Source organism: Homo sapiens, chromosome 10 (genome assembly GCF_000001405.40).
Source record: "Homo sapiens chromosome 10, GRCh38.p14 Primary Assembly".
Classification (NCBI taxonomy): Eukaryota; Metazoa; Chordata; class Mammalia; order Primates; family Hominidae; genus Homo; species Homo sapiens.
The window spans coordinates 100,067,493-100,090,144 of NC_000010.11; the positions used below are offsets into that span (position 1 = coordinate 100,067,493).

Sequence of the window (22,652 nt, forward strand, 5' to 3'; positions counted from 1 at the left end):
GCTTTTGCTTCATTTTCAAGGGAGAAAAAAACCCCAGAATACTCCATTTGGGAAACTCCCAATTAAAAGGCTTACACCTGCTTTGCTTTTCTTTCCCCAGTCTCTAAATTTAGACATTCACAAATAGAACATTTCAAACTATCCCACACAGCGTGATCACCAGGGGTGGCAGTGATGCTTAGAGAATGCCTAGTTATTTTCAGGAGCAGGCCCACCAGCAGGGTGAAACCACTCACATTACCAAGGACTTCCATTATAGGCCTCTTGGAGAGTGAGGCCTAGGAATATGGAATGGGATCCTCTGATTGGAAGAGTAAGGGAAATCAGGGAGGGTATAGTAATGATAAAGTAGTCAAAGGTCATATAGAAGGGGAAAAGGGGCCAGGTGTGGTGGCTCACACCTGTAATCCCAGCACTTTGGGAGGCTGAGGTGGGCAGATCACAAGGCCAGGAGTTCGAGACCAGCCTGACCAACATGGTAAAACCCTGTCTCTACTAAAAATACAAAAATTGGCCAGGGGTGGTGGCACGTGCCTGTAATCCCAGCTACTCAGGAGACTGAGGCAGGAGAATCGCTTGAACCCAGGAGGAAGAGGTTGCAGTGAGCCAAGATTGTGCCACTGCACTCCAGCCTGGAGGGTAAAAGAGCAAGACTCTGTCTCAAAAAAAAAAAAAAAGAAAGAAAGGGAAAAGAAAAAACTAAGGGTTAGATTCCCTGAACTTTTTTTTTTTTTTTTTTGAGACGGAGTCTCGCTCTGTCACCCAAGCTGGAGTGCAGTGGCACTATCTCAGCTCACTGCAACCTCTGCCTCCCAGGCTCATGCCATTCTCCTGCCTCAGCCTCCCAAGTAGCTGGGACTGCAGGCGCCCGCCACCACGCCTGGCTAATTTTTTGTATTTTTAGTAGAGATGGGGTTTCACCATGTTAGCCAGGATGGTCTCGATCTCCTGACCTCGTGATCCGCCCGCCTCGGCCTCCCAAAGTGCTGGGATTACAGGCGTGAGCCACCGCGCCCAGTCCCGAAAACTAAGGGTTAGATTCCTTGAACTTTTTTTTTGTTTGTTTGTTTTGGAGACAGGGTCTCTTGCTCTGTCACCCAGGCTGGAGCAGGCAGGACAATAGTTCACTGTAACCTTGAACTCTTAAACTCCTTCAAGGGATCCTCCCAAATAGCTAAGTCTATGACATGTGCCACTACACCCAGCTAAATTTTGTATTTTTATTTTGTAGAGATGGGGCCTCACTGTGTTGCCCAGGCTAGTCTCAAACTCCTGACCTCAAGCAATCCTCCCGTCTCAGCTTCCCAAAGTGCTGGGATTACAGGTGTGAGACACCACACCCAGCCTGAGCCTCTTTCTATAGCTAATTGTTGGTAAGCACACAGCTTATCACGAGTAAGACAGACGTCTCTATAGAATGCTTCTGTCCACAGTCTAGTGTAGTAGAAAGAATGTTGGAATAAGAATCAGAAGGCCTGCATCTTCATCCCGATTCCATCAATCACTACCTGTGAGAATGTAAATTATTTTCTCTCTAAGTGTAATAGCTATAAAACAGAGATGGATAACACTGCTTGGTGCATTTCACATGATGTCATGATCAACTGAAACTGGCTGTGAAATAATTCTGGAAAATTGTTAAGAACCATGCAACCAAATGATACTGCTTTCATATCCTTCACCACAATCACCACTAATATCAAACATTTAACCAGGCACGGTGGCTCACGCCTGTAATCCCAGCACTTTGGGAGGCTGAGGCAGGCAGATCACGAAGTCAGGAGTTTGAGACCAGCCTGGTCAAACGGTGAAACCCCGTCTCTACTAAAAATACAAAAATTAGCTGGGCATGGTGGTGTGCATCTTTAATCCCAGCTACTCAGGAGGCTGAGGCAGGAGAATCTCTTGGACCTGGGAGGCGAAGGCTGCAGTGAGCTGAGATCGCACCATTACACTCCAGCCTGGGCGACAGAGCGAGACTCTGTCTTAAAAAAAAAAAAAAATCACTTAGTGTGTGCTCCATGGAGGGCTCTATGCTGAGGAGAAAATAAATACAAAGACACGGAAGAAATATATATTATTGCTCTAGATGGGTTAATACTGAGTTGAGTTGATGCTTAATTCTTGCTTGTTTAGTTGATGTAAAGATGGCTTAGCAGTCTTTCTGCAAGAAATTCCAGATGCTGATTTACCTGCTTTGTTTGCAAATTTCATCTCCTACCTGACTTTTCCAGTTGTCTGGAAGGGGCAGGTGGTGGTTGGGGCCTCCGTACTTCTCGTTATAGTAGATATAGGTATTGAGATCAGGGAAGTTGCGGTTCAGGTCCACTCCATTTGCATTGTTCCTGCCAACTAGATACCCAGGCTTGTTTGGGCCCTAAAGGAAAATGAAAAGATGAAAAATGAAGGTTTCAGATTGAATACTATATTTTCTAACTTTTTTTTTTGGAGACAGGTTCTCACACTGTTGCCCAGGCTGAAGTGCAGTGGTACAATCTTGGCTTACTGCAACCTCTACCTACTGGGCTCAAGCAATCCTCCCACCTCAGTCTCCTGAGTAGCTGGGACTACAAGCACACACCACCACACCCGCTAATTGTTCTTTATTCTTTTCTTTTTTTGGTAGAGATGAGGCTGGTTGCCCAGGCTGGTATCAAACTCCTGGGCTCAAGTGATCCACCCACCTCGCCCTTCCAAAGTGCTGAGAGGCCAGGTGCAGTGGCTCACACCTGTAATCTCAGCACTTTGGGAGGCGGAGGCAGGTGGATCACTTGAGGTCAGAAGTTCAAGATCAGCCTGGCCAAAATGGTGAAACACCATCTCTACTAAAAAATACAAAAATTAGCTGGGTGTGGTGGCGTGTGCCTGTAGTCCCAGCTACTTGGGAGGCTGAGGCACGAGAATCACTTAAACTCAGGAAGTGAGGTTGCAATGGGCCAAGAACATGCCATTGCACTACAGCCTGGGTGACAGAGCAAGGCTCTGTCTAAAAAAAACAAACCAAACAAAGTGCTGAGATTACAGGCAAGAGCTACTACATGCAGCCATGAATCCTATATTTGAAGCACATTGTATAGTTCTTAGATATTAGCTTAATCAAATGATGTAGCATTTTTTTTCCTTTAGTCCCCGTCACAAGAAGATGAATCATTTTCTACTTTGACTTATCCAAAGTCACAGTGGTGGACTTCAAGTTCCCTGCAGATCACGTGTAAGAGGTACATATCTCAAGAGAAGTTCTAATAAGAGTAGGGTGTTTCGGGATCATGGGAACCCCAATGTTTTATGAACAGCTTTATTGAGATATAATTCACATACTATAAAATTTGCTCATTTTAAATGTACAATTCAATGAATTTTAGTATGTTTACGGAGTTGTATAATCATCATTGCAATCTAATTTTAGAACATTTCTGTCACACCAAATAGACACCTCATTCCCATTTACAGTCACTTCTCATTTTCATCCTAGCGTAGGTAATAACTTTATCTCTCCTTAGACTTGCCTCTTCTGGACAGATCACATAAGTGGGTCATACATTATCTGTTCTTTTGTGGGTTTTTCCCCCACACTGGGCATAATGTTTGTGAGGTTCATGTATGTTGTAGCATGTATCAGTACTTCATTTCTTTCTATTGCTGAATAGTTCCATTATGTGGATTTATCACATTTTGTTTATCCATTCACCAGTATTAGTATTAGTTTAATACTATTAGTATTAGGAAACTGTGTTAGTTTCCTAGGGCTGCCATAACAATCACCACAAACTAGGTGGTTTATAACAACAGCAATTTATTCTCCAATTTATTCTCTGGAGGCTAGAAGTTGTAATCAAGTCAACTGGATGGGCGGCACGCTCTCTGGTCCCCTTCTTTGTTTCTTCCAGGTTCTGGTGGCCAGAGGAAGTCCTTGGCATTCTTTGGCTCTTAGACCCATCACTCTAATTTCTGCTTTCATCTTCATATGGCCTCCTCCCCAGTCTGTCTGCATCTCTATTCGCAAATTTCTTTCTTCTTACAAGGACACCAGTTATGCTGGATTTAGAGTCCATCCTGATTCTAGGTGACCTCATCTCAATTGTATCCGTAAAGACCCTCAGTAGGCCCTCCATATCCATGGGTTCCACATGTGTGGATTCAACCAACCTCTGATTGAAAATGTAGTTAGGCCTATGATGGTTGCATCTGTACTGAATATGTACATACTTTTTTCTTGTCATTATTCCTTAAACAGTACATTATAACAACTGTTTACATAGCATTTACATTGTACTGGGTAACATAAGTAACCTAGGGATGATTTAAAGTATACAGGAGGATGTGCATAAGTTATGTGCAAATACTATGCCATTTTATATAAGGGACTTGAGCATCCAAGGATTTTGATATTGGTGGGGGGCCCTGGAATCAATCACCTACGGATACTGAAGGATGACTATGTATTTCCAAATAAGATCATAGTCACAGATTTCAGGTGAATGCGAATTTTGGCGAAGGGTGGTAGGGGGAGATTCATGGACATTTGGGTTGTTTTCACCTTTTGGCTATTGTTAATAATGCTGCTTTGAACATCCACGTACAAGTCTTTGTGTGGATGTATGTTTTCATTTCCTCTGGGTAGATATCTGTAAGTAGAACTGCCGAGTCATAAGCTAAGTCCATGTTTAACTGTTTTTTGTTGTTTGTTTTTGTTTTTGTTTTGAGACAGGGTCTCACTCTGTTGCCTAGGCTGGAGTATAACAGCATGATCATGGCTCACTGCAGCCTCAACCTCCTGGGCTCAGGTGATCCTCCCACCTCAGCCTCCTGGTAGCTGGTGTTTACAGGCACGCGCCACAACACCTGGCTAATTTTAAATTATTTGTAAAGATGGGGTTTTGCCATGTTGCCTACGCTGGTCTCAAACTTCTAGGCTCAAGTGATCCACCCACCTCCCAAAGTGCTGGGATTAACAGACGTGAGCCACTACGGCCTTATGTTTAACTTTTTGAGAAACTGTTAAACTGTTTTTCAAAGTGGTTACACTATGGAAACTCACTCCTCCCCCCTTCAAAAAATTTAGGATGCTTACTTATCTTTCTTTTGAGCAATATCAACTTTCTGGATCCCTTAATTTCTCTGTCCATATTTCAGATTTTATCATTTATTTGCTCATGTATTCACTCACTCATTAGGTCATCTATTTAGTCAACCAACATTTACTTAAGTCCTTCTCTATTCAGAGCTCTCAGATAGACACTGGGGAAAGAGATAAGTGAGACATTGTAGTCTAGCCTTCTAGGAATTCATAGTACACATGGGGAGATGGACACACACATAAATAATTAAATACATAGAGTGATAGAATAGAGATATGTTAAAAGGCTCATTCAAAATTGAAATTCCATTTAATGTTTTGTGTGGCATTGGAGAAGGGAAATAGTGCCAACTGGGTCCCTGTAGACTGAGAAGGTGGAGCCCAAATTGTTGGCTGTTCCTGGAAGTGAATGAATGGATGCCGGGAAGCTACAATCTCACAGATGAATCGCCGTTCTCATATTTTCCCTTTTCTAACCAATAAAATGCGGCAGATTACATTTTTTTCTAAGAATTCAGTATTATTCTCAGATTTCTCCTCTTTTCATGGCACCCTGCTTGTATTTCATTTTTAGATCCTATTGAAAACATAATTGTTTTGAAGTTCCTTTAAGTTTCCTACATCAGTTGTGTTCCAGTGGAAAACATTTATTGGATCTTTCATTTTGGTGTACACTTCTGTGACATAATGATTTTCTTTATGCTTCCAGGGGCTTGTCACTGCTTGCTTATTTATATCAAGGCAACTCTTGACTGTCAGCATAAACAGCTATGGGCATTATCCACTGATTTCCCTGCACACTGGTCAATAGTTAAGTTGGCAGGAAGGGGCTTCCCCTAACAGAAGGTTTCATAAACAGGGCTAGTGTTGTGTTTCCTATTACTGCTGTAACAAATTACCCCAAATTTAGTGGTTTAAAACAGCACGAGTGTATTGTCTCATAGTTTTGGAGGTCAGAAGACTAAAACGGGTCTCACAGGCCTAAAAGCAAGGTGTCTCTCCAGTTTCTAGAGATCATTCACATTCCTTGGCTCTTCCATCTTTTTTTTTTTTTTTTTTTTTTGAGACAGAGTTTTGCTCTTGTTGCCCAGGCTGGAGTGCAATGGCGTGATCTCAGCTCACCGCAACCTTCATCTCCCAGGTTCAAGTGATTCTCCTGCCTCAGCCTCCCGAGTAGCTGGGATTACAGGCATGTGTTACCACGCCTGGCTAATTTTGTATTTTTAGTAGAGACAGGGTTTCTCCATGTTGGTCAGGCTGGTCTTGAACTTCTGACCTCAGGTGATCCTCCTACTTCAGCCTCCCAAAGTGCTGGGATTACAGGCCTGAGCCACGGCGCCCAGCCAAGGCTCTTCCATCTTTAAAGCCAGCCGTGTAACATCTTCAGAGCTCTCTCTGACTGTGACCTTTGGCCTCCCTCTTCTACATTTAAAGGACCCTCGTAATTGATTACACTGGGCCCCATCCCCCCCCCACAATACTCCAGGTTATTTTAAGGTCAACTGATTAGCAACCTTAGTTCCATCTGCAACCTTAATTCCTCCTTGCCCAGTAACATAACATATTCATAGGTTCTGAGGATTAGGACATGGACATCTTTGGTGGGGGGCATTATTCTGGCCACCTACAAGTGGCTTCAAAGTCTGGTGGCCAGGAAGTTCTTCTCTGTGTAGCCACGCAGACAGCTTGCCTCTGGGCATGGCAGGTATCTCTGAGAGTCTGAGAACCTGATGGGTCCTCTCGGGTTCAGGTTCAAGATCTGCTCCCTCTGAACAAGAACACAGCAGGTGAGCAGAGGTGACCAGCTTCCCAGAGATGGCTCTAAGATTCAGTGGACTGGCAGGGATTTTCCCCACTCCCTCCCACCCCACCTACTGCAAAGGATGTGGGCAGGACTGTGCAATGGCACGATCTCGGCTCACCACAGCCTCCGCCTCCTGGGTTCAAGCAACTCCCCTGCCTCAGCCTCCCAAGTAGGTGGAATTACAGGCATATGCCACCATGCCTGGCTAATTTTTTGTATATTTAGTAGAGACAGGGTTTCTCCATGTTGGTCAGGCTGATCTCGAACTCCCGACCTCAGGTGATCCACCCACCTCAGCCTCCCAAAGTGCTGGGATTACAGGCATGAGCCACCACGCCCGGCCGAAAACCCTGCCTTTTAAACACAGCTTTTAAAGGAACATCTCCATTGCATAAGGCAGATCGATGCCTGGCCTCACCCTTGACAATACTACTCAGTAGGCCTGCGGTGGGACCTGGGAATCTGTACTTCAAAATCTTCATCTGTGATTCTGATGCACAGCCACAGAAGAGAACCATTGATTTAAAGTTACGCATATCGATCTGAAACACTTAAGATGTTACTAATAATAATAAGACAAATGTTAGGCACGCTGACATTTTGAATTTATGTTAGAAAATAAAGTAAAAAGTCCTGCCAGGCACGGTGGCTCACGCCTGTAATCCCAGCACTTTGGGAGGCTGAGGTGGGTGGATCACCTGAGGCCAGGAGTTCAAGACCAGCCTGGCCAACCTGGCGAAATCCCGTCTCTACTAAAACTACAAAAAATTAGCTGGGCATGGTGGCGCACGCCTGTAGACCCAGCTACTCGAGGGCTGAGGCAGGAGAATTGCTTGAACCTGGGAGGCAGAAATCGCAGTGAGCCGAGATCGCACCACTGCACTCCAGCCTGGGCAACAAAGTAAGACTCTATCCCAAAAAAAGAAAGCCCTTAGACATTTTTTCTTATCGGTCCCACTGCAAATATAACTCTAAAATATAGAATCAATAGACTAAGTGCTATACTAGTAGAGGAAACAACTCTATGGAAATATAATAAAGTATGAAGAATGTAGAATTAGCCCCCTACCCCCAGTTCTGGGGAAAGCCTGTTGTCCTTGTTATTTTCTCCACAAATGCAAATGGAAATGTAGTGTGGAAGAAAGAAAGGTATGTAGGGTTTGATGCTGAAAGTCCAGGAAAGGAGCTTTATTTTGCAATATCCCTCCACATCTGTTGAGTATTTTCCAGGTTACAAAGTGTTATCACAGATATTGCCACATTAATCCTCACAATAAAACCCTGAGGTCATCTGGAAAGGTGTTGAGGGAATGCAGGCTCAGAGAGAGCCCATGTTTATTGCCTGAGGTGCTGTAGGACTGAACCCACCTCTTCATCCTTTCTTATATTTCTGATGGATTTTTTCTCTTGGCCATTTCATCTTTTACTTTTAACATTTGTGATATTTACAGTGGGACAGAGAGGGAATCTTGTCCACTGGACTTTATTTCCTAAGAAGGCCTTGATCTCTCCCCGGCATCTCCCTTGGACCTCGTACCTGGGCAGCAGCCACCTCGTAGCCGTCGGGGTTCATGGATGGCAGGATGTGAATGCGCGTGTCCTGGATGAGCTGGACGATGCGCTGGTTCCTGTTCCGGAACTCCTCGCACAGAAACTCCGACAGCTGCAGCATCAGCTCGCGGCCCAACGCTTCGTTGCCGTGCATGTTCCCCACATACTTGACCTCTGGTTCCACTGCAAGGAAGAGAAAAGATGGGGGAAGCTTGGAAGTGTCATTGATGCCTAACCTTGCAGAAGGACCTTTTTTCTCTTTTTCAGTAACGAATGAAAGAAAATCTCATGCTTTCATTGGGTCTTTTGCAATAATCCCTGAGCCCCTTCCTAACCAATTACAGTTACAAAACCTACAAAAATTCATGCCAGGGATGATAATGAGTGCCATGTATTGAACCCCCATAGTGTACTAGACAGTTATGTTCAATACTGCTAAAATTCACAGAAAACTTGTAAAGTGGGCATTAATAGCCTCAGGGTGAGGGTAATAAGGATGGGAGAGGTTAAGTAACTTGTCTGAGGTTGCCTAGCTAATGGCTCTATAGAGGCCCAAGCCCAGGTGGCACTTACAGTGCCATTTACAGTAGCATGCTGCTTCTCAGAGACAAATCTTTCAGGATAAGGATGTTCCCCAGAACCTGTTTTCATGAAGTACTCTAGGTTTTAGCGTAACAGCCGCTAATGATCCCAGTTGAAAACTTAGTTTTCTTGGCACTTGAAAAGTTTCTTGCTCCATCTGAACAAGAACACAGCAGGTGAGCAGAGGTGACCAGCTCCGCAGCGATGGATCTAAGATTCAGTGGGCTGGCAGGGGTTTTCCCCACTCCCTCCCACCCCACCTACCATGAAGAATAGGATTGGGGGCAGGACTGAGCTCGTTCTCCATTGTCCCCACTGAAGTACAGGAAAACTAAAATCACTCCTTCAAATCTAAGCAGGCCAAATCTGAAGGCACAGAATAGGAAGGCACCTGCTATGTCTCATTCCTCAGTCTTCTCTTGGGCCATGTTAACTGTTCAACTTGAGGTAAGAATTGAGGATCTGAAAGTTTCTGGGGTCACCTAAAGAAAATCATTCTTGCCCTCTTTTAAGAGGAAGGAGAAAAGCTCTTGCCAAATGATTTTTCTTACACCCAATACTTTCCTGCGTCCATGACTTTTCTGGTTCTGTACCTCTTCATCTTCTCATTTCCAAATCCTTCTCACCACCCTTCTAGGCCCAGTTCACATGATACTCTGTGAAGTCATCTTGGGTTCTCCTTGATGAGAGAGAGCTCTCTGTTGACTTCCCCGGTTTTACCTTTTTTTTTTTTTTTTTTTTTGAGATGGAGTCTCACTCTGTCACCCAGTCTGGAGTGCAGTGGCAAAATCCCAGTTCACTGCAACCTCCACCTCCCAGGTTCAAGCAATTCTCCTGCCTCAGCCTCCCAATTAGCTGGGACTACAGGTGCCTGCCACCACACTTGGCTGATTTTTATATTTTTAATAGAGACAGGGTTTCACCATGTTGGCCAGGCTGGTCTCAAACTCCCGACTTCAGGTGATCCACCCGCCTTGGCCTCCCAAAGTGCTAGGATTACAGGTGTGAGCCATTGCACCCGGCTGGGTTTTACCTATTTTTATATATGTTCTATTTCCTTTTCCGGACCTGGCCTTAGCAGTGTACATAATTTTTAACTTGTGACACCATCCATTATTATTTATCTTAGTATACCTACAGCAGTTTTTCTCAAAGGAATGCTTATAATCCATAAGGATCATGTGGTGGATTTTCCATAGCGAGTATTCTTTAATCTTAGTGTATTTTTTTAAATCATAGATTATGTCTTTCTTACTTTTCTTGGTGTTAAAATGTCTTTTCTGTTAGAAAAGGATGGATATAGTAGATGACAGGTAGTTTTCTTCACATCCTTATTCAGTAAAATAAAATTTGGAAGATCTGTTTTAGTTCCCTCCGGTCTCCTATTTATTTAAAAAAAAACAACAACAACACTTTTTTTAACTTCTTTATGAAATCTGTAAGTCTGGGAACCACTGCCCTGTAGAACTTTGGACAGTGCCATGCACTTAGCAGATGCTTAATGGCAGATTCTTTTGGCTCTCCTTTTTCTTTTTTCTTTTTCTTTTTTTTAATTTAGAGACAGGGTCTTGCTCAGTCATTCATGCTGGAGTGCAGTGGCACAATCATAGCTCAGGATAGCCTCTCGAATTTCTCAGTTCAAGCCATCCTCCCGCCTCAGCCTCCTGAGGAGCTGGGACCACAAGTGCACACTACCACACGAGGCTAATTTTCTAAAAAAAAAATTTATTACAGAGACAAGTCTCACTATGTTGTCCAGACTGGTCTGAAACTTTTGGCCTCAGGCAGTCCTCCCAAAGTACTGGGATTACAGGCATAAGCCACCACAGCTGGCCTCTACTTTCAATATATCTGGAACACAACCACTTCTCATAACAATCACTGCTACCATTTTGGTTCAAGCCCCTGCACCTTCAAGCTTGGTACTATTGGCAATATTAGGTTATTGCAATAAATCTCCCACTTGGTCTCCCTGCAGCTGCCTAGCCCCTTTAAAGTCTATTATCCAGAGTCAGGGGTTGGCAAAACTTTTTTATAAAGAACTAGAGAGTAAATCCTTTAGGCTTTGTGGGCCGTGATGTCTCTGTCACAGCTACTCAACTCTTCCAGCAAAAGCAGCCATGGACAAGATAAAAGTGAATGGGCGTGATTATGTTCCCATAAAACTTCATTTACCAAAACAGGTGGCTGGCCCTTGGGCTGTAGTTTGCTGACCCCTGTTCTGAGTGATCTTTACAAAATTTAAGACAGATCGTCTCCCCCTTCTGCTTAAAAAACCCTCCAGTGGCTTCTCACTTGACTCAAAGTAAAAGCCCAGATCTTTACCAGGGCCTATGAGGCCCTGCGTGATCTCCTGTTGCCTGGTGTCCCCATCACATGGCTGTGACCTCCTCTCTTGCTCTCCCCTCATTCACTCGGCTGGAGCCGCACTGGCCCCCTTGCTGTTCCTCACATGTGCCAAGCATGCTCCAGAGCATTGCCTTTGCTCTTCCCTCTGCCCGTCATCTTTTCCTCCTCAATATCAGCACGGCATGTGCCATCACACCCATCCTTCAGCTCTCTGTTCAAAGCCACCTCAGTGGAGACGCCTCTCCTGAGTGCCTCTCCTGCTCCTCCTTGTCTTCCTCCATGCCATCCTTATCTCTTTTTCCTGATTTAGTTTTCTCTACAGCACTTATTTCCATCTGATGTAATATGTATTTACGTAGTTACCCATTTATTGTCAGTCTTACCCCACTAGAATTCGGGCCCATGAGGGCAGGGTCTTTGTTTTATTCTCTGCTGTACTTCCAGAGTCTACAAAAGTGCCTGCATATTGTAGGTGATTGGTAAATATTTGTGGAATGAATGAATTAAAGGAATGAATGGGTGAATAGCAGTTATAGTGCTTCAGAGAAAAGAGGGAACAGTGAGGGCTAGAGTCCTGTGAAAAAGCTTCAAAGAAGGCCTTGAAAGCTAGAAAGTACAGGAGCACCAACAAGGGGGCTTGGAGTGTTGGGGGGCTAACCCCATGATGTCCATGAACACTCACGAGCTTCCACAGTGAACATATGATCTGATTGACAGCAGGCTGCTTGCTATGGAAGTGCAGTTTCAAAGCGAGGCAATTATCCCAGGTAACCCCATGGCCTTCTATGAGCCTCCTCCATGCAATATTCTGAATCCCATGGCCAGTCCATTGAGTGTGAGGCTTTTAAAGTAGGAAAGTGGGATTATGTCAAGATTTAGGAAAATTTTTCTGGCATCTGTGTACCAAATGGAAGATTCAGAGTGCAGCAGTTCGAAGTTAGAGACCTGGCTGGGCACGGTGGCTCACGCCTGTAATCCCAACACTTTGGGAGGCCAAGGCGGGTGGATCACTTGAGGTCAGGAGTTTGAGACCAGCCTGGCCAACACGGTGAAACCCCGTCTCTACTAAAAATAAAAAAAATTAGCCAGGCATGGTAGTGCACGCCTGTAATCCCAGCTACTTGGGAGGCTGAGGCAGGAGAATTGCTTGAACCCGGGAGGTGGAGGTTTCAGTGAGCTGAGATTGCACCACTGCATTCCAGCCTGGGCAACAGAGTGAGACTCCATCTCAAAAAAAAAAAAAAATGAAGTTAGAAACCAGTTGGGAGTTCAGTGCAATCATGTAGGCAGCTTGTGATGGAGTCTGGACTTGGGCAGGGGATGTGGAAGCGAAGAGGTAAAGGGAGATTTGAAGTTGAGTTTGAAGGAGGAACTGGTAAGGAAAGAAGTGAGAAATTAGAAACAACTTAAATGTCCATCAATATATGGACAGTTAAACATAGTCATGCAATGAGCTATTACACAGCCAAAACCACAGTGATGTAGATCTGCACTTATAGACATGGATGCTATCCATAACAGATTGTGAAATGAGAAGGGCAGTTATAATACAATTTCATTTTTATAGAAACAATTACATGTGTTTGAGTCAGGGTTTAAATATGCATAGAAAAAAGTCTGGAAGGATATACATCAATACATTAACAGTGGTGGGATTTGGGGTGAGTTTTATTATTTTTTTTCCTTATCTAATCTCTAAATTTTAATCCAAACATGGATTGCTTTTACAGTAGAAACAAACTAAAAAAAGGAATCCAGGCTAAGTGCGGTGGCTCACGCCTGTAATCCCAACACTGGGAGGCCAAGGTGGGTGGATCGCCTGAGCCCAGGAGTTTGAGATTAGCCTGGTTAACATGATGAAACCCTGTCTCTACTAAAAATACAAAAATTAGCCGGGCGTATTGGTGCATGCCTGTGGTCCCAGCTACCTAGGAGGCTGAGGGGAAAGGATCACCTGAGCCCAGGAGGTGGAGGCTGCAGTGAGCTGAGATCATGCCACTGCATTCCAGCCTGGGCAACAGAGCCAGACCCCGTCTCAAAAAAATAAAAAATAAAAAAGAATCCAGTAAATAAAACTGACACCCAAGTCCCCAAACTCTCTCTGGAATACCACACTGTCACTCCCCGAAGAGATTCCCCTATACCCTTCTAAGTTTCCTGGCAGAACTAGAAGGGCTCATTGTTTTTGCCTATGTCTCCTGAGCCATTGGGTGGGGAAAGACAGAACAATAGTAAGGGGAAAAGAAAGGAAATGGGGGAAATGAAGGGATATGGGACATGAGCAGGGAAGAAGACTCATCTTTTACCATTAAAGTTTTGAGCAAACAGAACCCAAAAAGGAGGAAAGATCTGAAGGCTGAAGGAGGGTTATAGCTCCCCAGAGGCAGTGGCAGTTTGAGGGCTAAGAGGGAAATAGCACAGGCTGAGAAAGAGATAATACCTTGTAGGCGGAGGCGTCCACGGACCACCCCAGAAACCACTCCAATTACTGGATTTGCAAGGGAAAGGCCCTGCCCCACACACCCTCAAGAGCTGTTCAGAACTTACAGGGCTCGTGGATTCCAGGGTGGTCGCTGAACTCCAGCACGTAGAGGTGTCTCCCCTCCACGCTGCGCCCAATGCTGTAGACCCGCGTGATGCCGGGGCATTCGTTTTGCACCTTGTACAGCGTCCGCACAAGATCATCATAGCGGTGGTGGCGAAAGGTCACCGGGGCAACCAACTTGAAGAGAAGGAGGAGGTGGAGGAAGACTGAGAGCAGGTCTGACATCTTGCTGGGCTTTTTCAAAGAGAGCCACTGAAACGCGCCCCACCTCCTTAAACAACCTAGCCTCTTCACCCGCCAAAATCCAAGGTCCACCTAGCTTCCCGCTTGTAAACACCAGTCCAAATTGGAAGACGTTCCCAGCTGTCCGTCCAAGGCTGGAAATTCTTTATGTCGTTCTGGAATAGCCACTCATCTCTCCTCCCTCACTCCCTTTCTTTCTCTAATCCAGGAAAGCCTTTTGAAAGGTTTTTTGCACTTCCCCAGATGGGTAGTTTCACTGATTCTGGTTTACTGGTTAACTGGACTGTAAACAGGCTTCAATAAATAGCTGCTTATAACCCTTTGATTCCTGGAGAATTTTTTAAAACTTGGCCTGTGCCTGTTCCTTTTATTACAACTTTCAAAAAGAGTTCTCTGTCCCTTTTGATCCATCCCACGTACTGCTGCCTGCCTATCTTTCTGAAGCATGGCTGTATTTTGTCCTTTTTTTCCTCAAAAATCTTTCAACAGATGCCATTAAGAAAAGGAAAAGATTAGCCTCGGACTGGGAGAAAACAATTGTAAATCATGTATCCGATAATACCCCCATAATACGTAAAGAATCCTTACAATACAATAAGAAAACAAACAACCCAATTAAAACATGGGCAAAACATTTGACCAAAATAGATATACAAATGGCTAATAAGCACATTTAAAGATGTTCAGTGTCATTAGTCATTAAGGAAATACAAATTAAAACCACATGAGATCCAGTCATGGTGGCTCATGCCTATAATCTCAGCACTTTGGGAGGCCAAATTGGGAGGATCACTTGAGCCCAGGAGTTTGAGATCAGCCTGGGCAACATAGCAAGACCCCACCTCTACAAATATTTTTAAAATTAGCTGGGTGTGATGGCATGCCTGTAGTTCCAGCTACTAGGGAGGCTGAGGCAGAGAATCACTTGAACCTGGGTGGTGGGGCCTGAAGTGAGCCATGATCATGCCACTACACTCCAGCCTGGGCAACAGAGTGAGACCTCATCTCAAAAAACAAACAAACAAAAATCACACATGAAATATACTTTACCTCCACTAGAATGGCTACAATAAAAAAGACAGACAATAACAAATGTTGGTGAGAATAGGGAGAAACTGGAACCCTCATAAATAGTGCAGCCAGACCAGGTGCAGTGGCTCATGCCTGTAGCCCAGGACTTTGAGAGGCCGAGGCAGGTGGATCACGAGGTCAAGAGATCGAGATCATCCTGGCAAACATGGCAAAACCCCCTCTCTACTAAAAATACAAAAATTAGCTGGGCATGGTGGCACACGCCTGTAGTCCCAGCTACTCAGGAGTCTGAGGCAGGAGAATTGCTTGAACCTGAGAGGAGGAGGTTGCAGTGAGCTGAGATCACGCCACTGCACTCCAGCTTGGTGACAGAGCGAGACTCCATCTCAAAAAAAATAAAAAATAAAGATAAACAAATAAATAGTACAGCCAGTTTGGAAAACAGTTTAGCAGTTTCTTACAAGGTTAAATATATACTTACTATATAATACAACAGTTTCACTCCTAGGTACCTATGCAAGAGAAATGAAAACACACATCCACACAAAAACTTGTACATAAATGTCCATAGCAGTATTGTTCACAAGAGACAAAAAGTGGAAACAACCCAAATGTCCATTAACCACTGAGCGGATAAACAAAATATGGCATATCCATACAATGAAATAGTATTTGACAATAAAAAGGAGTGGAGTGCTAATATATTGTACAATGTGAATGAATCTTACACATGCCTGGTAAAAGAAGCCAGACCCAAAACACCACAAGTGGACACAAAATTTCTTTTTAGAGTGATAGAAATGTTCTAAAATTAGATTGTGGTGATGGTGATGTCTATACAACTCGATAAATATACTAAAATTCATTGAATTGCATACTTAAAACAGATGAATTCTATGATATGCAAATTGTATCTCAATAAAGCTGTTTTTAAAAGGGAATAAAAAATAAGTACAGCCCTCTGAAAGAATTAAATATAAATTTACCATACAACTCAACAATTCCATTCCTGGGTATGTACCCAATAGAACAAACTTGCCCACAGAATGTTCACAGCAGCATTATTCATAATAGGCAAAAAGTAGAAACTACCTAAATGTCTATCAACTGGTGAATAAATAAAATATGATATAACCATACAATTGAACACTATTCAGCAAAAAAAAGAATAAAATGCGACTACATGCTACAATGTGGATGAACTTCAAAAACACTATGCAAAGTGAAAGAAGCCAGACATGAAAAAAACACATAATGTATAATTCCATTTATATGAAATGTCCTGCAAAGGTAAACCTATAGAGACAGAAGGTAAAATAATGTTCCCCTGAGGTTGGGGATGGGAATGGAAATTAACTGTAAATGGGCATGAGGGATTTATTTTCTAACGGATGAATCAGCCACTCAAACTGGATCCAAGGAAGATCTTATTGGAGTGATGGAGATGTTCTAGAACTGGGTGATGGTAATAGTTGGTCAGCTTGATAACTTTACTAAACATCATTTAATCATAAACTTACCGGGTACGGTGGCTCACGCCTGTAATCCCAGCACTTTGGGAGGCTGAGGCAGGTGGCTCACTTGAGATCAGGAGTTCTAGACCAGCCTAGCCAACATGGTGAAACTCCATCTCTACTAAAAATATAAAAATTAGCTGGGTGTGGTGGCACCCGCCTATAATCCCAGGTACTCAGGAGGTTGAGGCAGAAGAATTTCTTGAACCCGGGAGGCGGAGGTTGCCGTGAGCTGAGATCATGCCACTGCACTCCAGCCTGGGCGACAGAGAGAGACTTCATCTCAAAAAAAAAAAAAAAAAATCATTTAATTGTAAACTTAAAAAGGGTGAAATTTGTGGTATGTAAATCAGACCTTAAAAAATTGGTTTTTTAAATTTATTTGTTTATTTATTGAGAGAGAGTCTCACTCTTTTCACCTAGGCTGGAGTGCAACGGTGCAATCTCCACTCACTGCAACCTCTGCCTCCTGGGTTCAAGTGATTCTCCTGCCTCAGCCTCCAGAATAGCTGGGATTACAGGCACCCGCCACCACGCCCAGCTAATTTTTGTATTTTTAGTAGAGACAGGGTTTCACTATTTTGGCCAGGCTAGTCTCGAACTCCTGGCCTCAGATCATCTGCCCACCTCGGTCTCCCAAAGTGCTGGGATTACAGGCATGAGCTATTGCGCCTGGCCTAAAATTGTTGTTTTTAAAAAGCAAAGTTTCAATGAACATTCATGTACTGTCGTGTAAAATTCAAATGCCTCAGATAGCCTTTTTGTCCTTGCTACCAAGTCCAGTTGTAACTTGTCATCCTGTCCCTCATTCTAGTGCAGCACTGTTGCTCCACCTACTATCTTTGGAGAATGCCCCTGCCTTCCTGCTTTCACTCATGCTATTTCCCTAGGTAGCTCAATCCAGCTCAAATTCTGGGTCTTCCTTACCTCCCCTTGTAGTTGCTGCTACAATCAGTCTTTGTACCTCCAATTCCTATCACTTTCTCTGTTATGCACTACTCACCATGTTAGGTGTTGGGTGTCAGGGTAGAGTGCAGCCCTGCTGGCACACTGCTCTTGCTCTCCAGGGTGATCTGCAGCCCCCTAGCATAGAGCTGGGCACAGGTGCTCAACATTTGTTGAATGAATGAGTGAGTGAATGAATGAACACACAAATCCATTATTGACTTTCCCCCTTGCATCCTGCTGCTCCGTCTTTAGCAAACTTTCCCAAGAAAATCCTATGTTTTTATAACCAGTCAGTAAAGACAGCGATTCCATCTTGGATATACTGGGTGAACACTATGTGGCCAGGCCAGTCCGGCTCACAGAGAGGTGGCCCAGATAGTCACAGAGGGTTGGCCCTGATAAGAACTAAACTGGCAGTACCAAACATCTGCTGCCTATACCCACAGCTCAAATCCCATAATTTTCTGAGGAGAGCCTGTCCCCCCAGGTGGTAAAGGTAGGAATCAAGGCATCACTAAGGCTGTCACACATTAAGCCTTTGATCTAGGACAGTATCTACTGTCATTACTGAGGGCTTGGCTTAGTAACTCCCCAGTGTGCCTATGGTTCTTTATGGGGCCTCACTCATGCCAAACAGATGAATCCCATTCTCCGGGAGAGGAATGCACCCTCTCTACCTGTTTGCACAGTGGATTCTTGTAAACAGGGAATATCCTCTGTCAATGAGAAGTATCAGGGATGAGGTAGCTATGCCTTCCCTGGAATTCCACAGAGTACCAGAGTGATGCCTGCAAGCCAGAGGGCATACATCGCCTCTCAAAGCAACTAGAAGTAAAAGGTTCATGGCCTTCAGTGTCAGAGGGATATGATTTCAAATCCAAGTGCAACCCTTTCTTAGGCCATTTGACCTTGGGCAAATGACTTAACTTCCCTAAACCTCAGTTTCTTTCTGTATAGGATAGGGAAATATAGCTCCTCCCTATGGGTTGTTGTGTGGATTAAATAAGATGTTGTATGTAAGGCCTTTTTCACAGTGCCTAGCACATAGCAAGGGCTCAATAAATATTAGTAGTAGTAGAAATAGCAGCAACAACATCATTAAGCATCTACTTTGTGCTAGAGACCATGCCAGGTGATGGGGATAAAAGTCATTCATTCAACAAATATAGTAAAGTCTTTACTACTAAAAGCCAAAGGCTTTACATATAATGTCCTTTTTCAATCTACAACAAAACCAACAAAGATCCTGCCCATGTGGTGCTTATATTCCAGTGAAGAAACAGACACAATTAAGAGTGAAAAAGCAGTCTCTCTCCTCACAGATACAGAAAAGGAAACAAGCACAACACAGAGGGATGAGTGATGAATATAACCACATAGGACCACCAAGCAGGTTCACCTCACCTAGTTTTGGGAGGTCAGAGAGGGCTGGCTGGAGGATCTGCGGGAGTGAAACTAACAAGATTATTTTTAGAGTCCTGTCTCCCACTGTGGTATGCACAATAGTGACCCTCCCAAAAGTGTCCACACCCTAATCCTTGGAAACTGAAATGTTATGTTACATGGCAAAGGGGAATGAAGTTTGCAGAAAAAATGAAGGTTGCAGCCCAACGTGGTGGCTCACACCTGTAATCCAAGCACTTTGGGAGGCCAAGGCATGAGGATTGTTTGAGCCCAGGAGTTTGAGACCAGCCTGGGCAACATGGCAAGACCCCATCTCTACAAAAAATCAAAGGTTAGCCAGGCATGGTGGTGCATACCTGTGGTCTCAGCTACTCAGGAGGCTGAGGTGGGAGGATCGCTTGAGTCCAGGAGGTCAAGGCTGCAGGTGAGCCACGGTCATGCCACTGCACTCCAGCCTTGGTGACAGAGTGAGACCTGTCTCACTGGCCTCAAAGATGGTGGAAGAGTACCACGAGCTACAGAATGTGAACACCCTCTAAAAACTGCAAAAGGCAAGGAAACGCATGCTCCCTGGGACATCCAGCAAGGAACACAGCTCTGCCGGCACCCTGATATTAGTACAATGAGACCCATTGCAGACTTCTGATCTCTAGACCTGTAAGATAATACATTTGTGTTGTTTTAAAATTTGTGCTCATTTTTTTAACCACAGCAATAGGAAACAAATACACCCCCAAATACCCACACAACTGGGGCTCCTGGGGAGAGGCTGGAACAGAAAGCTTCATTGTCTGACATCCTTCCAAGGTCTTGATTCAAATCTTGGGCAGCTAGCCCTGCAAATGGCTGTATAGGTCTGGACCAAATGGTATCATCAGAGTTCTTTCTGTTTCTTCTCCTCCTCACCCTAATTTTAGGCATTTCCTTCTTTCTGGGTTCTCAGTGTCCTCAATGTTGTCCCCGCCTGGACAGATGCATCTCCATTCTGCCTTAGGCAAATATTAATAACACTTTACAATTCTATGTTGCCTTACAGAGTACCAACTACTTCTTTATTTATTCCTCCCAAGGAGGAGGGTACCGTAATTTCATTTTAGAAGAGAAATTTTCCCAGAGTCACATAACTAGTAAGTGGTGGAGGAGGGCCTGGACTCTGGCACAGTTAGCCTAACGTCCTGCTCAATGCATTTCAGTGAATTCAGATATGGAACAAGGGTAGGAAGCCACCAGAGACAGATTAGCAAAGAGAGTACGTTCAAATCTGGAAAGGGTTGGAAGGAGACAGAAGGATATTTACCCTTAAGTAGGGACATGGGGGCAATTGTCCTCTTTCCTTTGTCTTCTTTCCCTAGACCTAGACAAAGGAGAGAGGAGAAAGGGGAAGGGAGAGGGTGAGAGCAAGAGCAAAAGAGCAAGCAAGAGAGAGAGAGAGACAGAGAGCAAGCGAGCGAGAGAGAGAGAGAGAGAGAGAGAGAGAATGCCAGCCCTGTGTAGGCAAATGAACCAACCTTCCCAAACCAGAACTCTACTTATCATAGTTTTAAGATTTCTTTCTTTATATCCCCAGCAGTAACTCTGCAGAGAAGTCTTGATATAATTTAACCCTGCTCAATAAATGTTAGTTGACTGCACCTATAAATGAATCAAGAGTTCAGGCTGGGTGCGGTGGCTCACACCTGTAATCCCAGCACTTCGGGAGGTCAAGGCAGGTGGATCATTTGAGGTCAGGAGTTCAAGACCAGGCTGGCCAACATGGTGAGACCCTGTCTCTACTAAAAATACAAAAACTAGGCAGGTGTGGTGGCGTGTGCCTGTAATCCCAGCTACTTGGGAGGCTGAGGCAGGAGAATCGCTTAACCCTGGGAGATGGAGGATGCAGTTAGTGAGATTGCACCACTGCACTCCAGTCTGGGTGACAGAGTGAGACTCCGTCTTGAAAAAAAAAAAAAAAAAAAAAAAAGAGTTCAGCTTAGTTCAAATCACCAATCACTCTTTGAGAGATATTTGGATTTTAAGTGTTATGAGAGGGGTGGAGCAAAGGGAACCCAGCAAAGTCTGGAAGGCAAGGAAAGTCAGTCCTCAAGCCAGACCAAGCCCTTTCCAATTCTCTTTCCCATCCATCTCATACTTCTGGTCTTAGCACCACGGTCAACAACACTGAGAGAACTTTCTCAATCATCTCTTCTGGAACTTTCCCTGGTCATGCTGTCTGATCATCCTGCTTATTTCAGTCAGTATTGGGCTGCCAATCTGTAATTACCTTGTTTATTCGCTTTCTTGTTTATGGACTGCCTCTCCCAGTAGAAGCTAAGCTCAATGAAGGCCAAGACTATTTTATCCTACTGTTCACCACTTAATCCCAGTACAATGTGCTGAATAAATGAAAAACCAAATGAAGTTATGTCTGAACTGAGATCTGAGATCCTAATGAGGAAATGTTAACCAGATGAAGGGGGTAGAGAAGCTTGGGGTGGAATGGGGAGAGTTTTTGAGAGGGAAGAGCATGGTGGTCCCTCCTAATCACCCTGACCTATTGGAATCACCCAGGATCTGTCCTTGAATTTCTTCTCTTTCTCTTTCCATGCACCTACTCCCAGACGATCTCATTTACAAATCCCACTATAAGCTGGTAACTTTCAAATGTATTTCTCTTGCTTCTGCTTCTCTGAACTCTAGAATTTCATTTCTACTGCTTATCTCCCATCACCACTGGGATTTCTAACAGGCATCCATGCCTAATGCTGCCCATCTGCCTCCAGTCCCCGGGGTGAGTAGAGACTGACAGATACAAATTGTGTCCATTTTTCTTTTCTTTTTTCTTTTGAGACAGAATCTCACTCTGTCACCCAGGCTGCAGTGCAGTAGCGTGATCTCAGCTCACTGCAACATCCGCCTCCCGAGCTCAAGTGATCCTCCCACCTCAATCTCCTGAGTAGATGGGACTACAGGCAGCCACCGCCATGCCCAGCTAACTTTTAATTTTTTGTAGAGATGGTGTCTCACTATGCCCAGGCTGGTGGCTGGTCTCAAACTCCTGGGCTCAAGCGATTCTTCCACCTCAGCCTCCCAAATTGCTGGGATACAGGCATGAGCCACTGCACCTGACTCTGTCCATTTTTCTTGAGAGACCTGTACATCCCATTTACATATGTGGGAACCACTAAAATTTAAATGATCTACCCAGATCATATAACTTATATTTGTTTATATCTGAGTCAAGGCACCAAAAGAAAAAAGAAAAAAAAATCCTATATTTAGCATAACTGGAGATTAAATTGGCTTTCTTTTTCTTCTTCTTTTTCTTTTTTTTGAGACAGAGTCTCACTCTGTTGCCCAGGGTGAAGTGCAGTGGTGTGATCTCGGCTCACTGCAACCTCTGCCTCCCAGGTTCAAGCGATTCTCCTGCCTCAGCCTCCCAAGTAGCTGGGACTATAGGTGCCCACCACCAAGCCCAGCTAATTGTTTTTGTATTTTTAGTAGAGTCAGGGTTTCACTATGTTGGCCAGGCTGGTCTCAAACTCCTAACCTCGTGATCCACCCACTTTGCCCTCCCAAAGTGTTGGGATTACAGGCATGAGCCACCACGCCCGGCCTAAATTGGCT

At 44.3% G+C, this 22,652-nt stretch overlaps 1 protein-coding gene across 1 annotated transcript in view, besides 1 other annotated feature; it reads right to left on the reverse strand.

The window, feature by feature from the left end:
* Positions 1-14,377, reverse strand: part of CPN1 (carboxypeptidase N subunit 1) — a 39,677-nt gene extending 25,300 nt beyond the window's left edge. Inside the window, exons 1-3 of the mRNA NM_001308.3 lie at positions 13,911-14,377; positions 8,419-8,615; positions 2,222-2,377 (exon numbers count right to left, since the gene is read on the reverse strand). Of these exons, the coding sequence (NP_001299.1) occupies positions 2,222-2,377; positions 8,419-8,615; positions 13,911-14,133 (576 nt within the window). The 5' untranslated portion in view covers positions 14,134-14,377. The remainder of the gene's footprint in view (positions 1-2,221; positions 2,378-8,418; positions 8,616-13,910) is intronic.
* Positions 9,510-9,569: a silencer, noted in NCBI's record as "silent region_2701". NCBI's record gives its function as "represses an Ori minimal core promoter by ATAC-STARR-seq in GM12878 lymphoblastoid cells {active_cell/tissue: GM12878}" and the evidence as "EXISTENCE:reporter gene assay evidence [ECO:0000049][PMID:35858748]".